Raw genomic sequence first — 18771 nt, forward strand, 5'->3', positions numbered from 1 at the left:
ATAGGGCCCGTGTTAGGGAGTGGTGGATGATAAGGCAGGAGGAGTGGGCTAGGGGACAGAAAAGGAAGGGCCTTATGAGCCGTGCTAAAGGGTGTTTAGGCTTTATACTGAAAGCAGTGGGAACCCACTCAAAGGTTTTAAATAGTGGACTGAAATTATCAGACTTGCATTTCATAAAGAGGCTCTTTGTAGAAAAAAGTTTAGGGGTAAGGCTGAAAAACAAGAGGCTGGTTAAGAGTGTGTTGGTGGTCTGGGAGTGGTGGCTCACACCTGTAATCCCAGTACTTTGGGAGGCTGAGGTGGGTGGATCACCTGAGGTCAAGAGTTCGAGACCAGCCTGGCCAATATGGTGAAAACTCATCTCTACTAAAAATACAAAAATTAGCTGGGTTTGGTGATGGCTACTCAGGAGACTGAGGCAGGAGGATTGCTTGAAACCAGGAGGTGGAGGTTGCACTAAGCCGAGATCGTACCACTGCACTCCAGCCTGGGTGACAAGAGTGAAACTCCGTCTCAAAAAAAAAGAGTGTGTTCGTGAAAATGATTAGAGCATGAACTAAGACGGTAGGAATATAACTGAAAGACATAAAGGCAGGTGTCATGTTGCCATCTTTCACCTTCCCTTTTTTTAGGCAAGAATATCTATTCATATTTTAAGTGAGTTTGGTACAACAGACTTCCGTCTCGGCGCACTTACCAAGAATAGGATGGGGGTTGGTGAGGAAAAGTGGTGTAGTACTGGTGAGGACTTCAACGACGGCCAGCCTAGACTCTGTAGGAAGATGGTCTTCACATGACAAGATGACCAGCTGAACCCACTGCTTCAGCTCAGCAGCTATCAATTCCCTGTTCTAAAAGCACAAAATGTACCTATCAGTAGTTCAGAAGATGCAACAAGGGCTGACACAGAATTAGGGGTGACCTACACCAAACTGGGCCTGTAGATTAGCTCTTAGCTCAATGGGAAGAAAGTTGTTTTTTAGTTGCTTTTCGATTCCAACTAGAGAGAAATATGCCCAAGGAAGAAAATCTGACTTGTCTTTCGGTAAGATGGAGTCACTATGACTAGACAACAAGTTCCTTTAGTCTTTTTTTTTGGTTTGAGGCAAGGTCTTGCTCTGTTGCCCAGGCTGGAGTGCAATGGTGCGATCTTGGCTCACTGCAACCTCTGCCTCCTGGGTTAAAGTGATTCTCTTGCTTCAGCCTTCCGAGTAGCTGAAAGTACAGGTGTGTGCCACCACACCTGGCTAATTTTTGTATTTAGCAAAATTAGACAGGGTTTCGCCATGTTGGTCAGGCTGGTCTCAAACTCCTGGCCTCAAGTGATCAACTTGCCTCGGCCTCCCAAAGTGCTGGCATTACAGACATGAGCCACTGCTCCCGGCCTTCCTTTAGTCTTTTTGGATGCAAATCAGGTTATGAGAACACTGGCATACATTTGGTCTGGTAAAGACCAAACTTGTGGGGAAAGACTGTCCAGCAAATAACAACTTATTGTCACCAATAACCAGATGCCCCTCCTATAGTAAAAGAACCCCAGATTCTTGGCTGGGCCCATGGGCACCCAGCTAGAGACTACATGTCCCAGTCTCTCTTGCTTTTGGGAGTAACAGGTGATTAAGTTCTGAAGACTGGGATGACACTAGAAGTAGTATCTGTGCACTTTCAAGTCATGCCTTAGGAAATGCCCATGATCTTTATTTCTTGGGTTTCCCCTTCCTGCTGGCTAAACAAGGACAAGATGGTGGAAGCTGGAGCAAACAGGTGGGACCCTAAGATAGAAACTATGTGTTTAGGACAGCAGAACAACAAAGTATGAGAACCTGGTGACTCAACACTGTCAAGATACATTGGCTTTGGACTGTTTCTATCTGATTTAAGCCACAGTATTTATGTTTCTATTACAACATTTAAAACAGAATCACAGGCCGGGCACAGTGGCTCACGGCTATAATCCCAGCACTTTGGGAGGCCAAGGCAGGTGGATCACCTGAGGTCAGGCGTTCAGGACCAGCCAGGCCAACATGGTGAAACCCTGTCTCTACTAATACACAAAAATTAGCTGGACATGGTGGCGCGTGCCTGTAATCCCAGCTACTCAGGAGGCTGAGGCATGGGAACTGCTTGAAGCCAGGGGGCGGAGGCTGCAGTGAGCCAAGATCATGCCACTGCACTCCAGCCTGGGAGACAGAATGAGACTCCATCTCTAAATAAATAAATAAAGCAGCATCTAACACTATTGTTTAAACAAAGCAGTGTTGTTTTTATTTTTTAGAAAACTAGATTCTCAGTTTATTACAAAGATGAGAATCTAGATGAAGAGACAGATGAAAAGACAGATACACAGGGAGAGGTCCAGAAGGATCCCAAGCACAGGACTTCCTCTCCCTATGGAGCTTTGGGGTGTGCCACTCTCCTGGCACATGAGTACATCTTGTTCACCACCCAGAAGCTCTCTGAACTTTTCATTCTTCAGGGTTTTTAAGGAAGCTTCATTGCAACAGCATGATTGATTTAAATCATTGGACATCGGTGATCAACTCAACCTTCAGCTCCTTGTTTTTAATAGTAACAGTTTTACTGAGATACAGTTTACATACCATAGAATTCACTCATTTAAAGTGGCCAATGCAGTGAACTCTGGTATATTCACAGATATGTGCAATCACCACCACGGTCAATTTCAGAACATTTTCATCATCACAAAGAGAAACTCTGCACCCTTTATCTATCACTTCCCTATCCTCCCATCTCCCCAGCCCTGACTAAGCACTAATCTACTTTCTGTCTCTATCAGTTTGCCAATTCTGGACATTTCCTTTAAGTGGAAATTTCCTATAAATGGAATCAGATAATATGTAGTCTTTTATGACTAGGTTCTTTTACTTAGCATAATGTTTTCAAGGTTCACCCATGCCGTAGGATGTATCTGTACTTCACTCAATTTTGTGGCCAAATAATATTCCATTGTATGGATACATTACATTTTGCTTACTCATTCATCAGTTGATAAACATCTGGATTGTTTTCATCATTTAAACTCCGTTCTTTCACTTTTTCTAGAACAGGGACTGTTGTTCCAGATGTACTTTACTTCTATCAACTGAACCTCTTTAAATGTTCAAAATGTAACTAATGATTCCTTTGATCATCTATGGGCATCTACGCAACTAACATGATGAGTATTTTAGACCTTGAGGAAGATGCTAATTCCCAACGCACCAAGAAACTCATGTTTCCCCAGGAGCGTCTTTTATTTATTTCTCTCCAGTTCTGTTAATTTTTTTCTCCCTGGAAAACTCCCAATTTTCATTAAATATCACTTTATTCATGTAGTGGACATAACAACTGGTTAAAAACAGCTTTAGATAAGAATAATGCCTTGGCAGGCTTGTTAGGCTGCCTGGTGACTTCTTAGAACTTGGTGTTTTTTTGTTTGTTTGTTTGTTTGCTTTTTTTGAGATGGAGTCTTGCTCTGTTGCCCAGGCTGGAGTACAGTGAGACAATCTCGGCTCACTGCAGCCTCCACCTCCTGGGTTCAAGCGATCCTCCTGCCTCAGCTTCCTGAGCAGCTGGGATTACGGGCGCATACCACCACATCTGGCTAATTTTTATAATTTTTAGTAGAGCTGGGGTTTTGCCATGTTGGCCAGGTTGGTCTCAAACTCCTGACCTCAAGGTGATCCGCCCGCCTCAGCCTCCCAAAGTGCTAGGATTACAGGTGTGAGCTACCGTGCCCGGCCCTGGTGTTTTTTTTTTGTTTTTGTTTTTTTTTTTTTTTTTGAGACAGGGTCTTGCTCTGTTGCTCAGGCTGGAGTGCAGTGGCATGATCTCAGATCACTGCAATCTCTGCCTCCTGGGTTCAAGCAATTCTGCCTCAGCCTCCCGAGTAGCTGGGATTACAGGCGCCCACCACCACACCCGTCTAATTTTTGTATTTCTTGGTAGAGATGGAGTTTCACTGTTGGTCAGGCTAGTCTCAAATTCCTGACCTTAGGTGATCTGCCTGCCTTGACCTCCTAAAGTGCTGGGATTACAGGTGTGAACCACCATGTCTGGCCGTTTTTTTTTTTCCCCTTCCTGGGCTATAGTTTTTAGCAAATCATCTCCATTCCTATACTCCCTCCACCCCACCTGACTTTTCTGGGGGCTTTTTTAGCTCCTAGTGACCTCCTACGTTTGGCTCCCTGGCTTGCCTTTGAGTGACAGATCTAAGGAAATTGGACCTGCTTGTTAATTCTTACCCTTGGTTTTATCTCTGCCCAGCCTCATGCTCTCTGAACTTCATGATCTCCTCTATGAAGTCTTCTTCAGCCTCTGAACTCTCACTCCCTCCTCTGGGTTCCCACGGCCCTGGCACACCTTGTTACTAGAGCATTTAATGTAATTATCTAACTTTCTCTCATTAGACTATAGCTCTAGTCTCTGTTCATCTCTGTATCTTCAGTACCTACACAGCAGTGCTAGGTTTATTGTAAGGGCTCAGGGTCCACAATGTTATGCCACCACCATCAGTGTGGCTGTGTGGAATCTGGATCTTCAGGTAATTTTCCTGTGGTATTGGCTGCCTTCTACTTGTGATTCTGTGAGGGTGCTATCTTGTATGCACCTAAGTAGCATGTATTTGTCTTAAGACATCTTCCCAGGAAGCTGTTTTTCTTACTTCGGTTCTATTTCACTACCAAAGGACATGTAAAACAGGTGGGGCGCATCTGGGCCTCCATCCAGAGCCAGCTGGGCCATGTTCTGGGGGAATATTTAAGCCTTAGCGATGTATTTGCATACTTAGTTCACTAGGTTGCAATCCTAAATACTTTTGGAATTGACATGCTTACTCCTCTTTAAATAAAGAGTCCAGCTAGAGAAATGGGGAAAAAACAAGGGGTTTGGGCATATGTGTTTTGGGGGGAAGGTTCTGTTATCCCTTTGAACTCTAATTAAAAAAATGCCTAAAACAGGCTGGGCGCAGTGGCCCACATCTGTAATCTCAGCACTTTGGGAGGCCGAGGCGGGTGGATCACCTGAGGTCAGGAGTTCGAGACCAGCCTGGACAACATGGTGAAACCCCGCCTCTACTAAAAATACAAAAAATTAGCCGGGCGTGCTGGCACAAGCCTGTAATCCCAGCTACTCAGGAGGCTGAGGCTGGAGAAGAATCGCTTGAACCTGGGAGGCAAAGGTAGCAGTGAGCCGAGATCGTGCCACTGCACTCCAGCCTGGGCAACAAGAGCAAAACTCCATCTCAAAAAAAAAAAAAAAAAAAAAAAAAAAATCCTAAAACAAGAGAAAAGAAAGGTGGTGTCCAAAGAAGTCTTTTGAAGTTATACTCGAATTGAAAAACCAGCACGAACAATATTTCTGTAGATGTTACATACACATATCACAGGGGTTCTGCCTGCTAAGACTGTTCACTTTTACTGACATCTTCTGAGTAAATGAGAACAAAAAATCCTAGGTCCCGGAACAAGATCAGAACCAGCCTTACCTCCACACATGTCTGCATGTGGTGGGAAATGACTTTGGAAGCAAGTCTCAGAGCTACACTCTGAATTTCAGATCTAGAAAAATAAACAAACAAAAAAACAACACAAAATTACAATCAGACATATTTCATACACCGGTTTTTGCAGATAGTCTGTAATCCATGCAGAGGTGAATACTGAAAATCTCTACCTCCTGGTTACAAAAATGCCTCCGGAAGCAATTACCTTTTGGTTATTAATGCAAATCACTGACATCATTCTATTGCTTGAGTTTAGAACTCTTAGGCTGAGGTTTAGAATGAAATACAGGACCTGAGACCTGAGGGCAGGATTGTGTGCAAGTTCATTACATAATGACTGATGGGACCATACATCTTACCAAGGTTGCACAGGAGGTTTTGGGGGCAAACCTTTCATTGGAAGCAATATCCATCGTCCAGATCAAGAACTCCTTTGGGGTCAGATGGACACAGTGCTCCGTCTGGGGAAGCCACTCACCAGGGTCCATGCAGTGGAGAATTTTCAGTATCTGTGTAAGCCAAATCCGCACACAAAAAAGAGAAATAAATACTCAGGGAGATGTCTCTAGATGTTACATGATAATCAATTGTATCAACAAGAGGTCTACCTTTCAAAAGGCTCCCACTGACTTCTTATTTCCCCCATAATACCTTTGGGAGACTGAGGCAGAGTGATGCAATGACTAACCAGAGGGCCTCTAGTGACTTGGGATGGGAGCCAGATGCCCTGATTTTAGGCCAGTGCCCTTTCCTTTTGATTATGCTTCCCAGGTGGCCAACTGCCCTGAAATAGCCATGTCAGCAAAGACTACCTCTGACACACTCTACAGTGAATTTTTAATGATCTGTTTCCTAAACATCCCAAAGTGGTTTGCTCTGTCTTTGGTTAATCTCTGCCATCAATACTCCTATCATCAAAAGCTTTTCTTGGTGCCCTACCAGGTATGACGCCATGCCAACCACCATAAAAAGAGAGTCCTTATCCACTGGCTGCCGAATCTACTTCCTATTGCCCCTGGAGAGCCTAAACCCAATCTTGCCTTCATGATCCTACCATTCCAGTGGCTCACAAAAGAATGTGGGGAGTGTAAAGGGCCAGTCAGTACGTTGGAGACTTTACCTTGCAGAAGCATTCTGGGTGATTTTCCTTCATGGCCAACAATAAGAACTTCTCTCCCATGTTGCACAGCAAGGGTGGCACGCCCTTCTCTCCAAGTCCAGAGGCTGCTGCTAAGAACTTTTCCAAGAGGGCTTCCAGTGTTAGTGAGCGCACTTCAGGGAAGGCAGATTCTAACAGCTGAGAGAAAGAGATGGGGACATTCGTCTCCCGCTCTCCACTCTTGGCTGCCGCGGCCCACACTGCAGCAATGGCTAGTCTGGTGAGGCTCTGGAGGTACTGGGGCAGGCCTGGCACCTTGAAGGCCCAAGGGAATCCCGTTATCAGCTCTGATCCTGAGATAATCCCTCTGACTTCCTCCCAGAAGCCAAGACTCTCCAGAACTAAGAAGCAAAAAAAGCAAAAGGGAAAGAGATAATCACTTTAAATTTCCACAAAAGGACATGAAAGAATGAAGACTGAATCCACTGCGTGAGGCCATCAGATGTCTCCCATAAGCAGATTTCAAACACTGTCATAAGTGAGTGGCCCTCTAAGGTTCAGACTTCTAGTCCACAACAATTTCCATTTAGGTAATGTATAATTTTTCCAACAGGGGCACAAAGGCATTACTATTAGAAAATGCGTTCCTGGCACCCCTCCTCAACATTCAATAAATACGAACTCAGTGACCTCTTATCACCGAGCCTCAAAGCTGACCATGAGAAGAGGACATCTAGTATAAACTTCCTTCAGGGGTGAAGCTCCCCTCTGTAACACCCTTTCCCAGAAGCTCTTGGTTGAACCCTACAGTACCCTGGAGCTCATGAGACAGCTTATTCCATTGTTAGTAGATCTAATTGTCAAAAAGTTCTTTTTGTGTTTCTACTCACTGGCCTAATGCTACATTTTGAGGCTCCCAATGACAGCTCTTTAGACATTTGATTACAATTCTTGTGTCCCCTCTGTCTTCTCCAGATGAAACATTCCTACTTCCTTCCTCAAATGATGGGGTCACTGTCTCTCATTATTCTAGCTGCTTTCCTGTGGACATGCCTCACCCTCTCTTAAAGGATGGCCAATAGGCTGGATCACAAATCTCCTGCATGGTTTGACCCGCAGGACTATTACTTTCTCTGTTCTGAACTGGAGTTGCATCACACTGTTGACTCATATGGAGCACAAAGTCAACTGAAACCACAGCCCTTCTTTTTTGACGTGGTCTACTGATGGTGGTGAGTCATCTTTCTCCCACTTTGTACTCAGTACTTAAGCCAAGATGTGTTTTCTTTGTTTATTTTAAGCCCAAGTATATCCCTGTTAAATTTTATCCTCCTGTTAAGTTTTATGGTCTACCTTTCATTTGCCGAGATCTTTTCATATTCTCAGTTCTGATTAAAAAAATAAAAAAACCAAAAACTTATTGCCTGCTTACTATGTGCTAGGAGCTAAATAAGATCACTGCCCTTAAGGAGTTTATAGTCAGTCTAGTTTGAGAAAGAGAAATGCATGAACACATAATTCCAATATAGTGGTACAAATGATAACCTAGGCCTCAAAGAGGAAGACAGGTGACAATGTGTTAGCACCACCAAAGGCAGGGGAACCAGCTGAGCAAAGGCTCAACAAAGGCATGAAACAGAACGGACCATGTGGGGAACTACAGGCCATCCCATAACACTGGAGCATAAAATTTGAGGTGGGAAAGGGCAGGAGATGAGGCTAGGGAAGAAATGTGGCTAGAGTACAGAAAGCCTCCTAGACAATGTGAAGCAGCTAGTTCTGTATGCAACGGAATGCCACTGGGGGGTTATTTTAAGCAGTAAGGTCAGGGGCCCATTTTCACTGAAGTGCTCTTATCGTTGAGGAGGCAATATTAGAGGCAGGGAGACCAGTTACAACACTACTGCACCGTAGTCCAGGAGAGAAATAAATGACGAGGGCCTTAAGTTCAGAAGGAATCAGGAGAAGGTGGGTTTAAGAAACGCTGAAGGTCTGAAGCCAAGGTGATCATTTAAAAAGGCAAAAAAGAAAGAAAAAAAAACACTGAAGGGATAAAACTGGCAGGACTAGGGAATGAGGGTGCGGACTAGGGTAGGAGTCTCGGGTACCTCCCAGCACCCAGTTCTTCACACATGTTCATCATCTAATAGAAATTGGGTAAACCAGCTGGGCGTGGTGGCTCATGCCTGTAATCCCAACATTTTGGGAGCCCAAGGTGGGAGGACTGCTTGAGCCCAGGAGTTTGAGACCAGCCTGGACAACACTGTGAAAATCTATTTCTACAAAAAATAAAAAGTCAGCTGGGTGGGGGATCACTTGAGCCCAGGAGGTTGAGGATGCAGTGAGCCAGGATGCTGACACTGCATTCCAGCCTGGGCGACAAAGTGAGACCCTATCTCAAAAACGCATACAAAGTAGTTGGCAAACTTCAATTTCACAGGAATGCCTAAATGCCCAAAATCAAATAATTACTAAAAATGTGGGCAAGCTGGAGGGTGGAGGCCTTTGGTGAGCAGGCTCCCTGCTGGCCCTTGCCTCAAACGCTCTTCCAGGCTCTCACTAATTCATTAACTAGCCCTCTTCGGTTTGAGTCATCCCCCACTTATGAATCCTCTTAATTGTATCATTCTGTCCATGAAGTTTTATCTACAAGAACTTATGACAGACTTCACCAAATGCCTTGCCAAAATTTAGATATTATATTCATAGCATTCTCTGATAAATCCTGACAACTGTACCCAAGATGTTAACAAGTTTATCCTGGATTGGCTTACCAGACAGCATTTAAGTGATACGCATTTATAGCTAATAAAACACCGTTTATATTTATCATCTCATTATAACTCAGAGAACTCTGCTGACTTCTAGAAAACTAACATAAACATAATGCATATGTAAAACATTCAGGTAACAGAAAAATTTATTTGAAATTGAAAATTTGCATAGACTTGCAATAATTCGAGATTTAAAAATATAGAGTATTTATGTAACACATCAAATTGTTTCAAAGTCTGTCACAGGGGGCAAAATGGGGACTGGACTTGGGCTCCAACATGATGGGACCCCAGGGAGGCCACCATCTGGGGCTGCAGACAAACCTCTACTGTTTTTTTTTTTTTTTTTTTGAGATGGAGTCTCGCTCTGTCGCCCAGGCAGGAGTGCAGTGGTGCGATCTCGGCTCACTGCAACCTCCACCTCCAGGGTTCAAGTGATTCTCCTGCCTCAGCCTCCTGAGTAGCTGGGATTACAGGAGCATGCCACCACGCCTGGCTAATTTTTGTATATTTAGTAGAGACAGGGTTTTGCCATGCTGGACAGGCTGGTTTCGAACTCCTGACCTCGTGATCTGCTCGCCTCAGCCTCCCAAAGTGCTGGGATTACAGCGTGAGCCACCGTGCCCGGCCATACCGCTACTCTTAACTCAGACACTGCAGAATTCCCAGCTCACCAGGAGGCATCTTTTTATTTTTTTATTTTTTTGGAGACAGAATCTCCCTCGGTCACCCAGGCTGGAGTGCAGTGGCACAATATTGGCTCACTGCAACCTTCGCCTCCCCGGTACAAGTAATTCTCCTGTCTCAGCCTCCAGAGTAGCTGGAAATACAGGCACACGCCACCACACCCAGCTAATTTTTGTATTTTTAGTAGAGACAGGGTTTCACCATGTTGCCCAGGCTGGTCTCAAACTCCTGACCTCAGGTGATCTGCCCGCCTCGGCCTCCCAAAGTGCTGGGATTACAGGTGGGAGCCACTGAGCCCAGCCAGGCAGTATCTTTATAAAGCAGTGGGGGAAACCCTGGGCAGCTGGGATCTTCAACCTCTGTGTCATCTCTGTTTCAATGTCTAAAAACCGAATCTCATAACAATCTAATAATAATAAGAGCACAGTACTATCATCTCCAGGTACCATTTCCCTATCCTTCCTACCCACTGCTGCTAGAGGACAGCATTACATTCAAAAGGAATTTCATTTATTTGGCACAGTCAGAAATATGGCTCAGAAATCTGCTCTTAAAATTGTAATTAACGGCCGCCCGGGAGGCAGCGGCTGGAGGAGCGGACGGGCCCCGCGGGGCCCGAGGGCAAGGAGCAGCCGCCTGCCTTGGCCTCCCAAAGTGCCGAGATTGCAGCCTCTGCCCGGCCGCCACCCCGTCTGGGAAGTGAGGAGTGTCTCTGCCTGGCCGCCCATCGTCTGGGATGTGAGGAGCCCCTCTGCCTGGCTGCCCAGTCTGGAAAGTGAGGAGCGTCTCCGCCCGGCCGCCATCCCATCTAGGAAGTGAGGAGCGCCTCTTCCCAGCCGCCATCACATCTAGGAAGTGAGGAGCGTCTCTGCCCGGCCGCCCATCGTCTGAGATGTGGGGAGCGCCTCTGCCCCGCCGCCCCATCTGGGATGTGAGGAGCGCCTCTGCCCGGCCGAGACCCCGTCTGGGAGGTGAGGAGCGTCTCTGCCCGGCCACCCCGTCTGAGAAGTGAGGAGACCCTCTGCCTGGCAACCACCCCGTCTGAGAAGTGAGGAGCCCCTCCGCCCGGCAGCTGCCCCGTCTGAGAAGTGAGGAGCCTCTCTGCCCGGCAGCCACCCCATCTGGGAAGTGAGGAGCGTCTCCGCCCGGCAGCCACCCCGTCCGGGAGGGAGGTGGGGGGGGGTCAGCCCCCCGCCCGGCCAGCCGCCCCATCCGGGAGGGAGGTGGGCGGTCAGCCCCCCCGCCCGGCCAGCCGTGCCGTCCGGGAGGGAGGTGGGGGGGTCAGCCCCCCGCCTGGCCAGCCGTGCCGTCCGGGAGGGAGGTGGGGGGGTCAGCCCCCCGCCCGGCCAGCCCCCCCGTCCGGGAGGTGAGGGGCGCCTCTGCCCAGCCACCCCTACTGGGAAGTGAGGAGCCCCTCAGCCCGGCCAGCCACCCCGTCCGGGAGGGAGGTGGGGGGGTCGGCCCCCCGCCCGGCCAGCCGCCCCGTCCGGGAGGGAGGTGGGGGGGTCGGCCCCCCGCCCGGCCAGCCGCCCCGTCCGGGAGGGAGGTGGGGGGGGATCAGCCCCCCCGCCCGGCCAGCCGCCCCGTCCGGGAGGTGAGGGGCGCCTCTGCCCGGCCGCCCCTACTGGGAAGTGAGGAGCCCCTCTGCCCGGCCAGCCGCCATCCGGGAGGGAGGTGGGGGGGTCAGCCCCCCGCCCGGCCAGCCGCCCCGTCCGGGAGGGAGTGTGGGGGGGGTCAGCCCCCCGGCCCGGCCAGCCGCCCCGGCCGCCCCTACTGGGAAGTGAGGAGCCCCTCTGCCCGGCCACCACCCCGTCTGGGAGGTGTGCCCAACAGCTCATTGAGAACGGGCCAGGATGACAATGGCGGCTTTGTGGAATAGAAAGGCGGGAAAGGTGGGGAAAAGATTGAGAAATCGGATGGTTGCCGTGTCTGTGTAGAAAGAAGTAGACATGGGAGACTTTTCATTTTGTTCTGCACTAAGAAAAATTCCTCTGCCTTGGGATCCTGTTGATCTGTGACCTTACCCCCAACCCTGTGCTCTCTGAAACATGTGCTGTGTCCACTCAGGGTTAAATGGATTAAGGGCGGTGCAAGATGTGCTTTGTTAAACAGATGCTTGAAGGCAGCATGCTCGTTAAGAGTCATCACCACTCCCTAATCTCAAGTAATCAGGGACACAAACACTGCGGAAGGCCGCAGGGTCCTCTGCCTAGGAAAACCAGAGACCTTTGTTCACTTGTTTATCTGCTGACCTTCCCTCCACTGTTGTCCCATGACCCTGCCAAATCCCCCTCTGTGAGAAACACCCAAGAATTATCAATAAAAAAAAAATTAAAAAAAAAAAATTGTAATTAACAACAGGAAGAACTATCTGGGCTGTTCTGGATATAGTCCAGGCTGAGTGTAAGTATAGTCTGCTGGACTTGAGAGTTGGACACCCAGACCCATTTTTCTGGTCTGGGGCCTTAAGAAGGGATGATATCACCAGGAAGCCAGGGAATGAAGGCACTACCCCAAAGAAGGAGGAGATGGGGAGCAAGCATGCTGATGAGTGTAATGAAGGTAGACATTCCTTTGGGACTTCTTGACCTACACTGCCTGTGACTTGAGTATTAACTCTTTAAGTATTTCCTAAGCATATACAGGTTGAGCATCTCTAATCTGAAAATCTGAAATCCAAAATGCTCTAAGATCGGAAACTTTTTACGTGTTGAAATGGTGCCATAAGTGGAAAATTCCACACCTGACCTAATGCAGTCAACACACAGATGCAGTTTATTCAGTGTCCCCAAGGGAAAAATAAGATCACCTTCCGGTTATGTGTATAAGGTATGTATGAAACATAAATGAATTCTGTGTTTAGACTTGGGTTCCATCCCCAAGATGTCTCATTATATATGCAAATATTTAAAAAAAAAAAACCCAAACCTGAAATCTGAAACATGTTTGGTCCCAAGCATTTTGGATAAAGGAAGCTTAACTGCATTAGGTACTTTGGGAGATACAGAGATGCAGAGCTGAGAAAGAAAAAGATCTGCTTCAAAGAGCTTTAAGACCAATGGGAGGACAAAGAACAAGTACACAATAATAACTATAAAAATCTAGCCGGGCGCAGTGGCTCACGCCTGTAATCCCAGCACTTTGGGAGGCCGAGGCGGGCAGATCACCTGAGGTCAGGAGTTTGAGACCAACCTGGCCAACATGGTGAAACCCCGTCTCTACTAAAAAAAATACAAAAATTAGCTGGGCGTGATGGTGGGCACCTGTAATCCCAGCTACTCAGGAGGCTGAGGGAGGAGAATCGCTTGAACCCAAGAGGCGGAGTTTGCAGTGAGCCAAGATAGGGCTGCTGCACTCCAGCCTGAGCAACAGAAGAGACTCTGTCTCAAAAACAACAACACCAACAAAAACCTATAAAAATCACAAAATGTTTAGTGTCCTAAAATTGTTACTAATAAAAGCTGAAATTTGGGCTGGGCACAGTGGCTCATGCCTGTAATCCCAGCACTTTGGGAGGCCAAGGTGGGCAGATCACCCAAGGTCAGGAGCTTGAGACCAGCCTGACCAACATGGCGAAACCCCGCCTCTACTAAAAATACAAAAAATTAGCCAGGTGTGGTGGTGCATGCCTGTAATCCCAGCTACTCCGGAGGCTGAAGCAGGAGAACTGCTTGAACCTGTGACGCGGAGGTAGCAGTGAGCCGAGATTGTGCCACTGCACTACAGCCTGTACAAGAAGAGCAAAACTCTGTCTCAAGGCAAAAAAAAAAAAAAAAAGCTGACATTTGTTGAGTATTTACATGTCATGTACTATTCTGTAATTACAAAATATTACATACCCATGATTTAATGCTACGAATAAAAATTACTTTTATTTATTTTTTTGAGACAGAGTCTCTGTCACCCAGGCTGAGTGCAGTGGCACCATCTCGGCTCACTGCAACCTCCGCCTCCCGGGTTCAAGCAATTCTCCTGCCTCAGCCTCCCAAAGTGTTGGGATTACAGGCGTGAGCCACCGTGCCAGAACAAAAATTACTTTTAGAATTGACACTTGTTGATATTATTCTGAGCACCTAGACAAGATTTAACTCTTTAATGAGGTAGGCTCTATTATTATTATTATTCCCATTTTACAGATGAGGAAACAGAGAGGTGAAGTTACTTGCTCAAGGTCACTAAGGAAAAGGTAGGTAAAGAGAATACACACTAAAGCCATATGAAAGACCAAAATGAATGCGATGGCACTGATATTCTACTGGAAGAAATGGAAAAAGGGCTTTCAAGAGGCAACACAATTTAAGGTGGGCCCTGAGGCTGCACAGGAACCTTGCTGGGAGAGGAGAGGAAAGGGCAAACGTGTCAGGGAGAGTTAGGAGAGAACAGACACAGAGAGACCTTTAAATAAGTTTGCTGAATTAATGTGTCAACAGAGGAGCAGCAAGAGAGGTTAGACCTAGAGCCAAAAGGGAGGAAATTATCAAGTGACATTCATTTAGGCACTTTCTCCAAACTGCTGCTTGGAAAAAATATTCTGTTTGTGCAGCAACTCGGACTCAAGGAGATGCCCCGAAGGGCTTGTGAAACCACGGACTGCTGCCTCGACCTCACCCCAGAGTTTCTGATTCTGCAGGTCCTGGGATGGGGCTGATGATTTGCATTTTCAACAAGCTCACAGGTGAAGCTGCTGCTGCTGATCCAGGTATTTTAAAAACCACTGCCCTCAAGTAAAGGTAATGACTAATGATATTAAAACCACACATGCCTGAATCCCACTCTTGTAGATTCTGATTCAGTTGGTTTCAAGTTGGGCGCAGACAGCTGTAATCTTAAGAACTGGCAGGTAATTCTGCTCTGCACCCCAGCTGAGAACCACACTCCTCAGGGCCAACTTTCACGCGGGTTGGCAGGGTTTATGGGTGGGTAGGGCACTGGAGTTTCACGCAGAGCACGTATGATTCCAGCGCAGGACTTCACAGTAGTGAAGAACTAGAAAATTCACCATGCCCCAATTTCTCTTTCAAATAAAAACACCAAAGGAGAGAAAATAACCAAGAATTCAAAAGAACGAATACGCACTATGAATGTTCCTGGCAGGCAGGCCAGCCACCTGGCCAGACCTTCAGCAATGTAAACACTGGCTCGTTGTGTGCAGGTTCTGTTCTAGGTCTAGATGCAGCAGTGAATTAGACCTGGCTTTGCTCTCATGGAGCTCCAACTGGGTGGGGACCACAGGAACCATATTCCCCTATTCCATCTCAGTACCCAGAGTGAGAGGGTCTCTAGGTGGAACAGAAGGTTGGAGGCAGGAATGTCCAATACCTCAGCATAAGCTACTGCAGCAGCTAACAAAGAAATGCTGCTTTTCTCTTGCACAGTGGTTCTCAGCCCAGAAAGCACATTACATTAATCTGAGAGCTTTAGAAAAATACTCATGTCAGGGGACACTTGACCACATCTCTGGGGTGAAACCTAGCAGTCTAGTTTTAAAGTGACCTAGGTACAGCAGGGATTGACGGCTACTGTTTTAGTGGTACAGTCTGTTTCCCACTGCAGGTAGAGTTCGTCAAAGGGTTTTCACAATCGGGATTTTTCCCTGGTGCAACAACGTTTGTGTCCTGCCATAAAGAGTCTAGATGAACACGTGGTACTTATTTTCATTTCTATGAGTGCCCTTCGTTTGCAGGACACAAATAACTGAAGTTTGATCCAGTCTGAAGTTTAGCAGCCTTCTTCTTTAGCAGACTGTAATTTTTAAACCTTCTTTGCCTTTTTTTTTTACAAAGGAAAAGAGATGGTTTATCACAAGCTGATCTTGAACTCCTAGGCTCAAGTGATCCTCCCACATCTGCCTCCTGAGTACCTGGGACTATAGGTGCATGCCACCACACCCATCTGAAACCTTACCTTTTCTACTTGCAACCTCAACTTTGATAGATTTGGGTTTCTTCTTTGTTGGAAAGCCCAAATGTTTGAGTGAAAGAATCAAGTCCCTGCTTTAATGGCCCCATCGTACTTTTCCTAAGTTAGAGTGATTTTTTTCTAACTCTTCCTGGCTGGAGCTTTTTTCAGCCCTCCTTGTTTGGAAAGTCTTTGTACTTTCCCACCAGTGCAGTCAACTCAGCCACTCAAGTATGTGTGACTGATTCTTGCATCCAATTTGATTTCATTTTTGGAATTAACTTTTTTTTTTTTTTTCACTCTTTGGAGCAAGTAAATTTCTGGCCTTCAAGGGAATGGCTGAATGGCTGGATTCACATGGAAGGACAATACCTCCTACTGTGCTATGTCCTGGTTTCCTGGAGAAGTAATTCCTAATGAAATGTCACAATGTGGCAGACTGGTGTAAGTTGCCAGCTTTTTATTTTGCAAAGGATGTTAAAAACCTACTATCTATTATCACTTCATGAAAGAAAGTCTCTTATGCCCCAAAAGGGAAAAAATCATAGTGTCATCATAAAAGATAATTTAAAGAAATTTGTTTTTAAGAAAAAGATGTAGCCAGGTATCGTGGCGTGCACCTGTAGTTCCAGCTAGCTGGGAGGCTGAGGCAGGAGGATTGCTTGAGCCCAGGAGTTTGAAGCTACAGTGTGCTATAAGCACACCTGTGACTAGCCATTGCACTTCAGCCTGGGCAACATAGTGAGACCCTATCTCTAAAAACTAAAAACTAAGAAACTAAAAAAAACTAAAAAAAAAAGACAAATTTGCTATAGTATCATTTTGCTATAGCTTCCTTGTGCCATGGGCTGGTGAAATCACCAGGGAGCAGCACTAGTGAATTACAGCTTTGGAGAAGTTGATAAAAGCTTCTTGAGGCTAGTCTGTTTGGATGGCATAACTATTAGGAACCTCTATTCTCAGGAAGAAACTGAAGGAACTTTGCAGAGTCCTTCATGGCACTGAGGAGTGTTTTGCATAAAGGAGTATGGTGGCCCATTCACACAATTCCTTTGGTAATATCAGATGTGTTATCTTAGCAGTGTTTGGTTCTTTGGTAGGTTGGAGATTCCAGTGTAATGTCTGCAACATGAACAGTCATTGTGAAAGTTAACTTTAGATATCAAAACTGCCACTCCCTAACTAACCAAGGGAGAGTGCTAATTTTGACAGGCTGCTGAAAGAGGATTTAACAGTAGCACAGACCTTGAGCAGGGATGGCATCATACTTAGCATGTCCTGTTCTATTATTTAGGGCAGTCTCTCTCCTCTCTAGAGGAGAAGCATAACCCAAAAGGGAAGGCCTGTGGGCCATTCACCTTTGCTCTTCTGAGCTACTCATATAGGTTTGTTAAATTAAAAAAAAAATCAATATAATTTTTAAAAGATGCATGTTAATCTAAATAGCTTTAACAAGGGCATTCTGAAAAAAAAATGGTAATATCATTACCACATAATTATGGATACAGTGAAGTTACATCATAACAGCATTTAATTTAGGTGAATTTAACTTTAGGTGGGGCCGGGGGTGGGGGAGGAATAATAATTAGAGAGGGCAGTTTCCCCTGGCATTCCAATCAGTGGTCAATGTCCCATGTAGGGTTGCTGTACTGTTACCTCAGACCGGCGGTTCTCAAACTTTAGCTGCTCACCCCAAGTTTCTAATTTCAGTAAGTCTGAGCAGGGCTCCCCAAAAGTTACATTTCCTAACAAATTCCCAGGTAATGCTGATGCTGCTGGGGCAGGGACCGCACTTTCAAGGCCTCCACCTCAGACCATCTGACATCATCCATGCTTTCCACAGTGTAAACATCTTGCCATGCTGAATGTGTGTAATTCTAGTGTTTAATGGTATTTGTTTTTGTACACCATGGCCCTTCATCATAAGTCAACCCCTTCATCTAGTGCTCAGAGAGCTCCTGCATATTATACAGTTCCTGGCCTTCACTCTTACGTCACTCATCAAGACAGCCTGATTGTCTTGTGCCAAAATAAAAAGGGCAAGAAAGAAAAAATGCAAGGCCCAGAGTGACAACATTTTCTCGGTCCCAGCAAAGATGACTATGGGGGAGGCAAAGCCCCGGTAATCACACACAACTTGTTCTATTTAGAAGCAGCAGTCAGTATCCATGAAGGCAGAAGGATCCTCCTCAGGACTGAAAAGACCAACCCAACAACAACAAAAAAATGGTTTCACTACTACAAAATGTCACTTATAAGTGCAAATGGCAGTGATACTGGTCGTGCCACCGTGGAAGGTCATCTGAGTCTCAGAAGGCTCCTCATTCTGTCTGCACTTGCACATGTTCTTCCCTCTGCCTCAAAGGAATGAATGAACAAATAAGTGAATTTCTCCTTTGCAGACATAACTGTTCTAAAGTTTTCTCTATTCTCCCCTTTCTCTCCCAGTATCTCCAACCTCCTTAAAAAAGTAGGAGACGAAAAAATACAGAGCAGACTTCATTTTTTTTTTTTTTTTGTGATGGAGTCTCACTCTGTTGCCCAGGCTGGAGTGCAGTGGTGCAATCTCGGCTCACCGCAACCTCCGCCTTTCGGGTTCAAGTGGTTCTGCTGCCTCAGCCTCCCGAGTAGCTGGGATTACAGGCGCCAGCCATCAAGCCTGGCTAATTTTTGTATTTTTAGTAGAGACAGGGTTTTGCCATGTTGGCCAGGCTGGTCTTGAACTCCTGACCTCAGGTGATCCACCCACCTCGGCCTCCCAAAGTGCTGGGATTACAGGCATGAGCCACTGTGCCCGGCCTAGACTTCAC

General features: G+C 46.4%; 1 protein-coding gene across 7 annotated transcripts in view, besides 3 other annotated features; it reads right to left on the reverse strand.

The window, feature by feature from the left end:
* The window catches only part of THADA (THADA armadillo repeat containing), a 365188-nt gene that overhangs the window by 55360 nt on the left and 291057 nt on the right, over positions 1–18771 (reverse strand). For all 7 annotated transcript variants that reach the window (NR_073394.2, NR_144316.2, NM_001345924.2 and 4 more), the window contains 4 exons: positions 6624–7003; positions 5894–6012; positions 5486–5558; positions 698–851 (listed from right to left, as the gene is read on the reverse strand). Coding sequence is in view for 5 of the 7 variants with exons in the window: in NM_001345924.2 (NP_001332853.1) it covers positions 698–851; positions 5486–5558; positions 5894–6012; positions 6624–7003 (726 nt within the window). In the remaining 2 variants the exon portion in view is untranslated. The remainder of the gene's footprint in view (positions 1–697; positions 852–5485; positions 5559–5893; positions 6013–6623; positions 7004–18771) is intronic.
* Positions 6624–7823: an enhancer, noted in NCBI's record as "BRD4-independent group 4 enhancer chr2:43519973-43521172 (GRCh37/hg19 assembly coordinates)". NCBI's record gives its function as "activates an origin of replication core promoter dependent on BRD2, P300/CBP, MED14 and CDK7 cofactors, and independent of BRD4, by STARR-seq in HCT116 cells {active_cell/tissue: HCT116}" and the evidence as "EXISTENCE:reporter gene assay evidence [ECO:0000049][PMID:35650434]".
* Positions 7100–7394: a silencer, noted in NCBI's record as "tiled region #10532; K562 Repressive non-DNase unmatched - State 6:EnhF". NCBI's record gives its function as "represses a minimal TATA promoter and a strong SV40 promoter by Sharpr-MPRA in K562 cells {active_cell/tissue: K562}" and the evidence as "EXISTENCE:reporter gene assay evidence [ECO:0000049][PMID:27701403]".
* Positions 10922–11423: an enhancer, noted in NCBI's record as "H3K27ac hESC enhancer chr2:43524271-43524772 (GRCh37/hg19 assembly coordinates)". NCBI's record gives its function as "activates a minimal SCP1, AML or CMV promoter by ChIP-STARR-seq in naive H9 embryonic stem cells {active_cell/tissue: H9 hESC(naive)}" and the evidence as "EXISTENCE:reporter gene assay evidence [ECO:0000049][PMID:30033119]".

This window comes from Homo sapiens, chromosome 2 (genome assembly GCF_000001405.40).
Source record: "Homo sapiens chromosome 2, GRCh38.p14 Primary Assembly".
Lineage (NCBI taxonomy): Eukaryota > Metazoa > Chordata > Mammalia > Primates > Hominidae > Homo > Homo sapiens.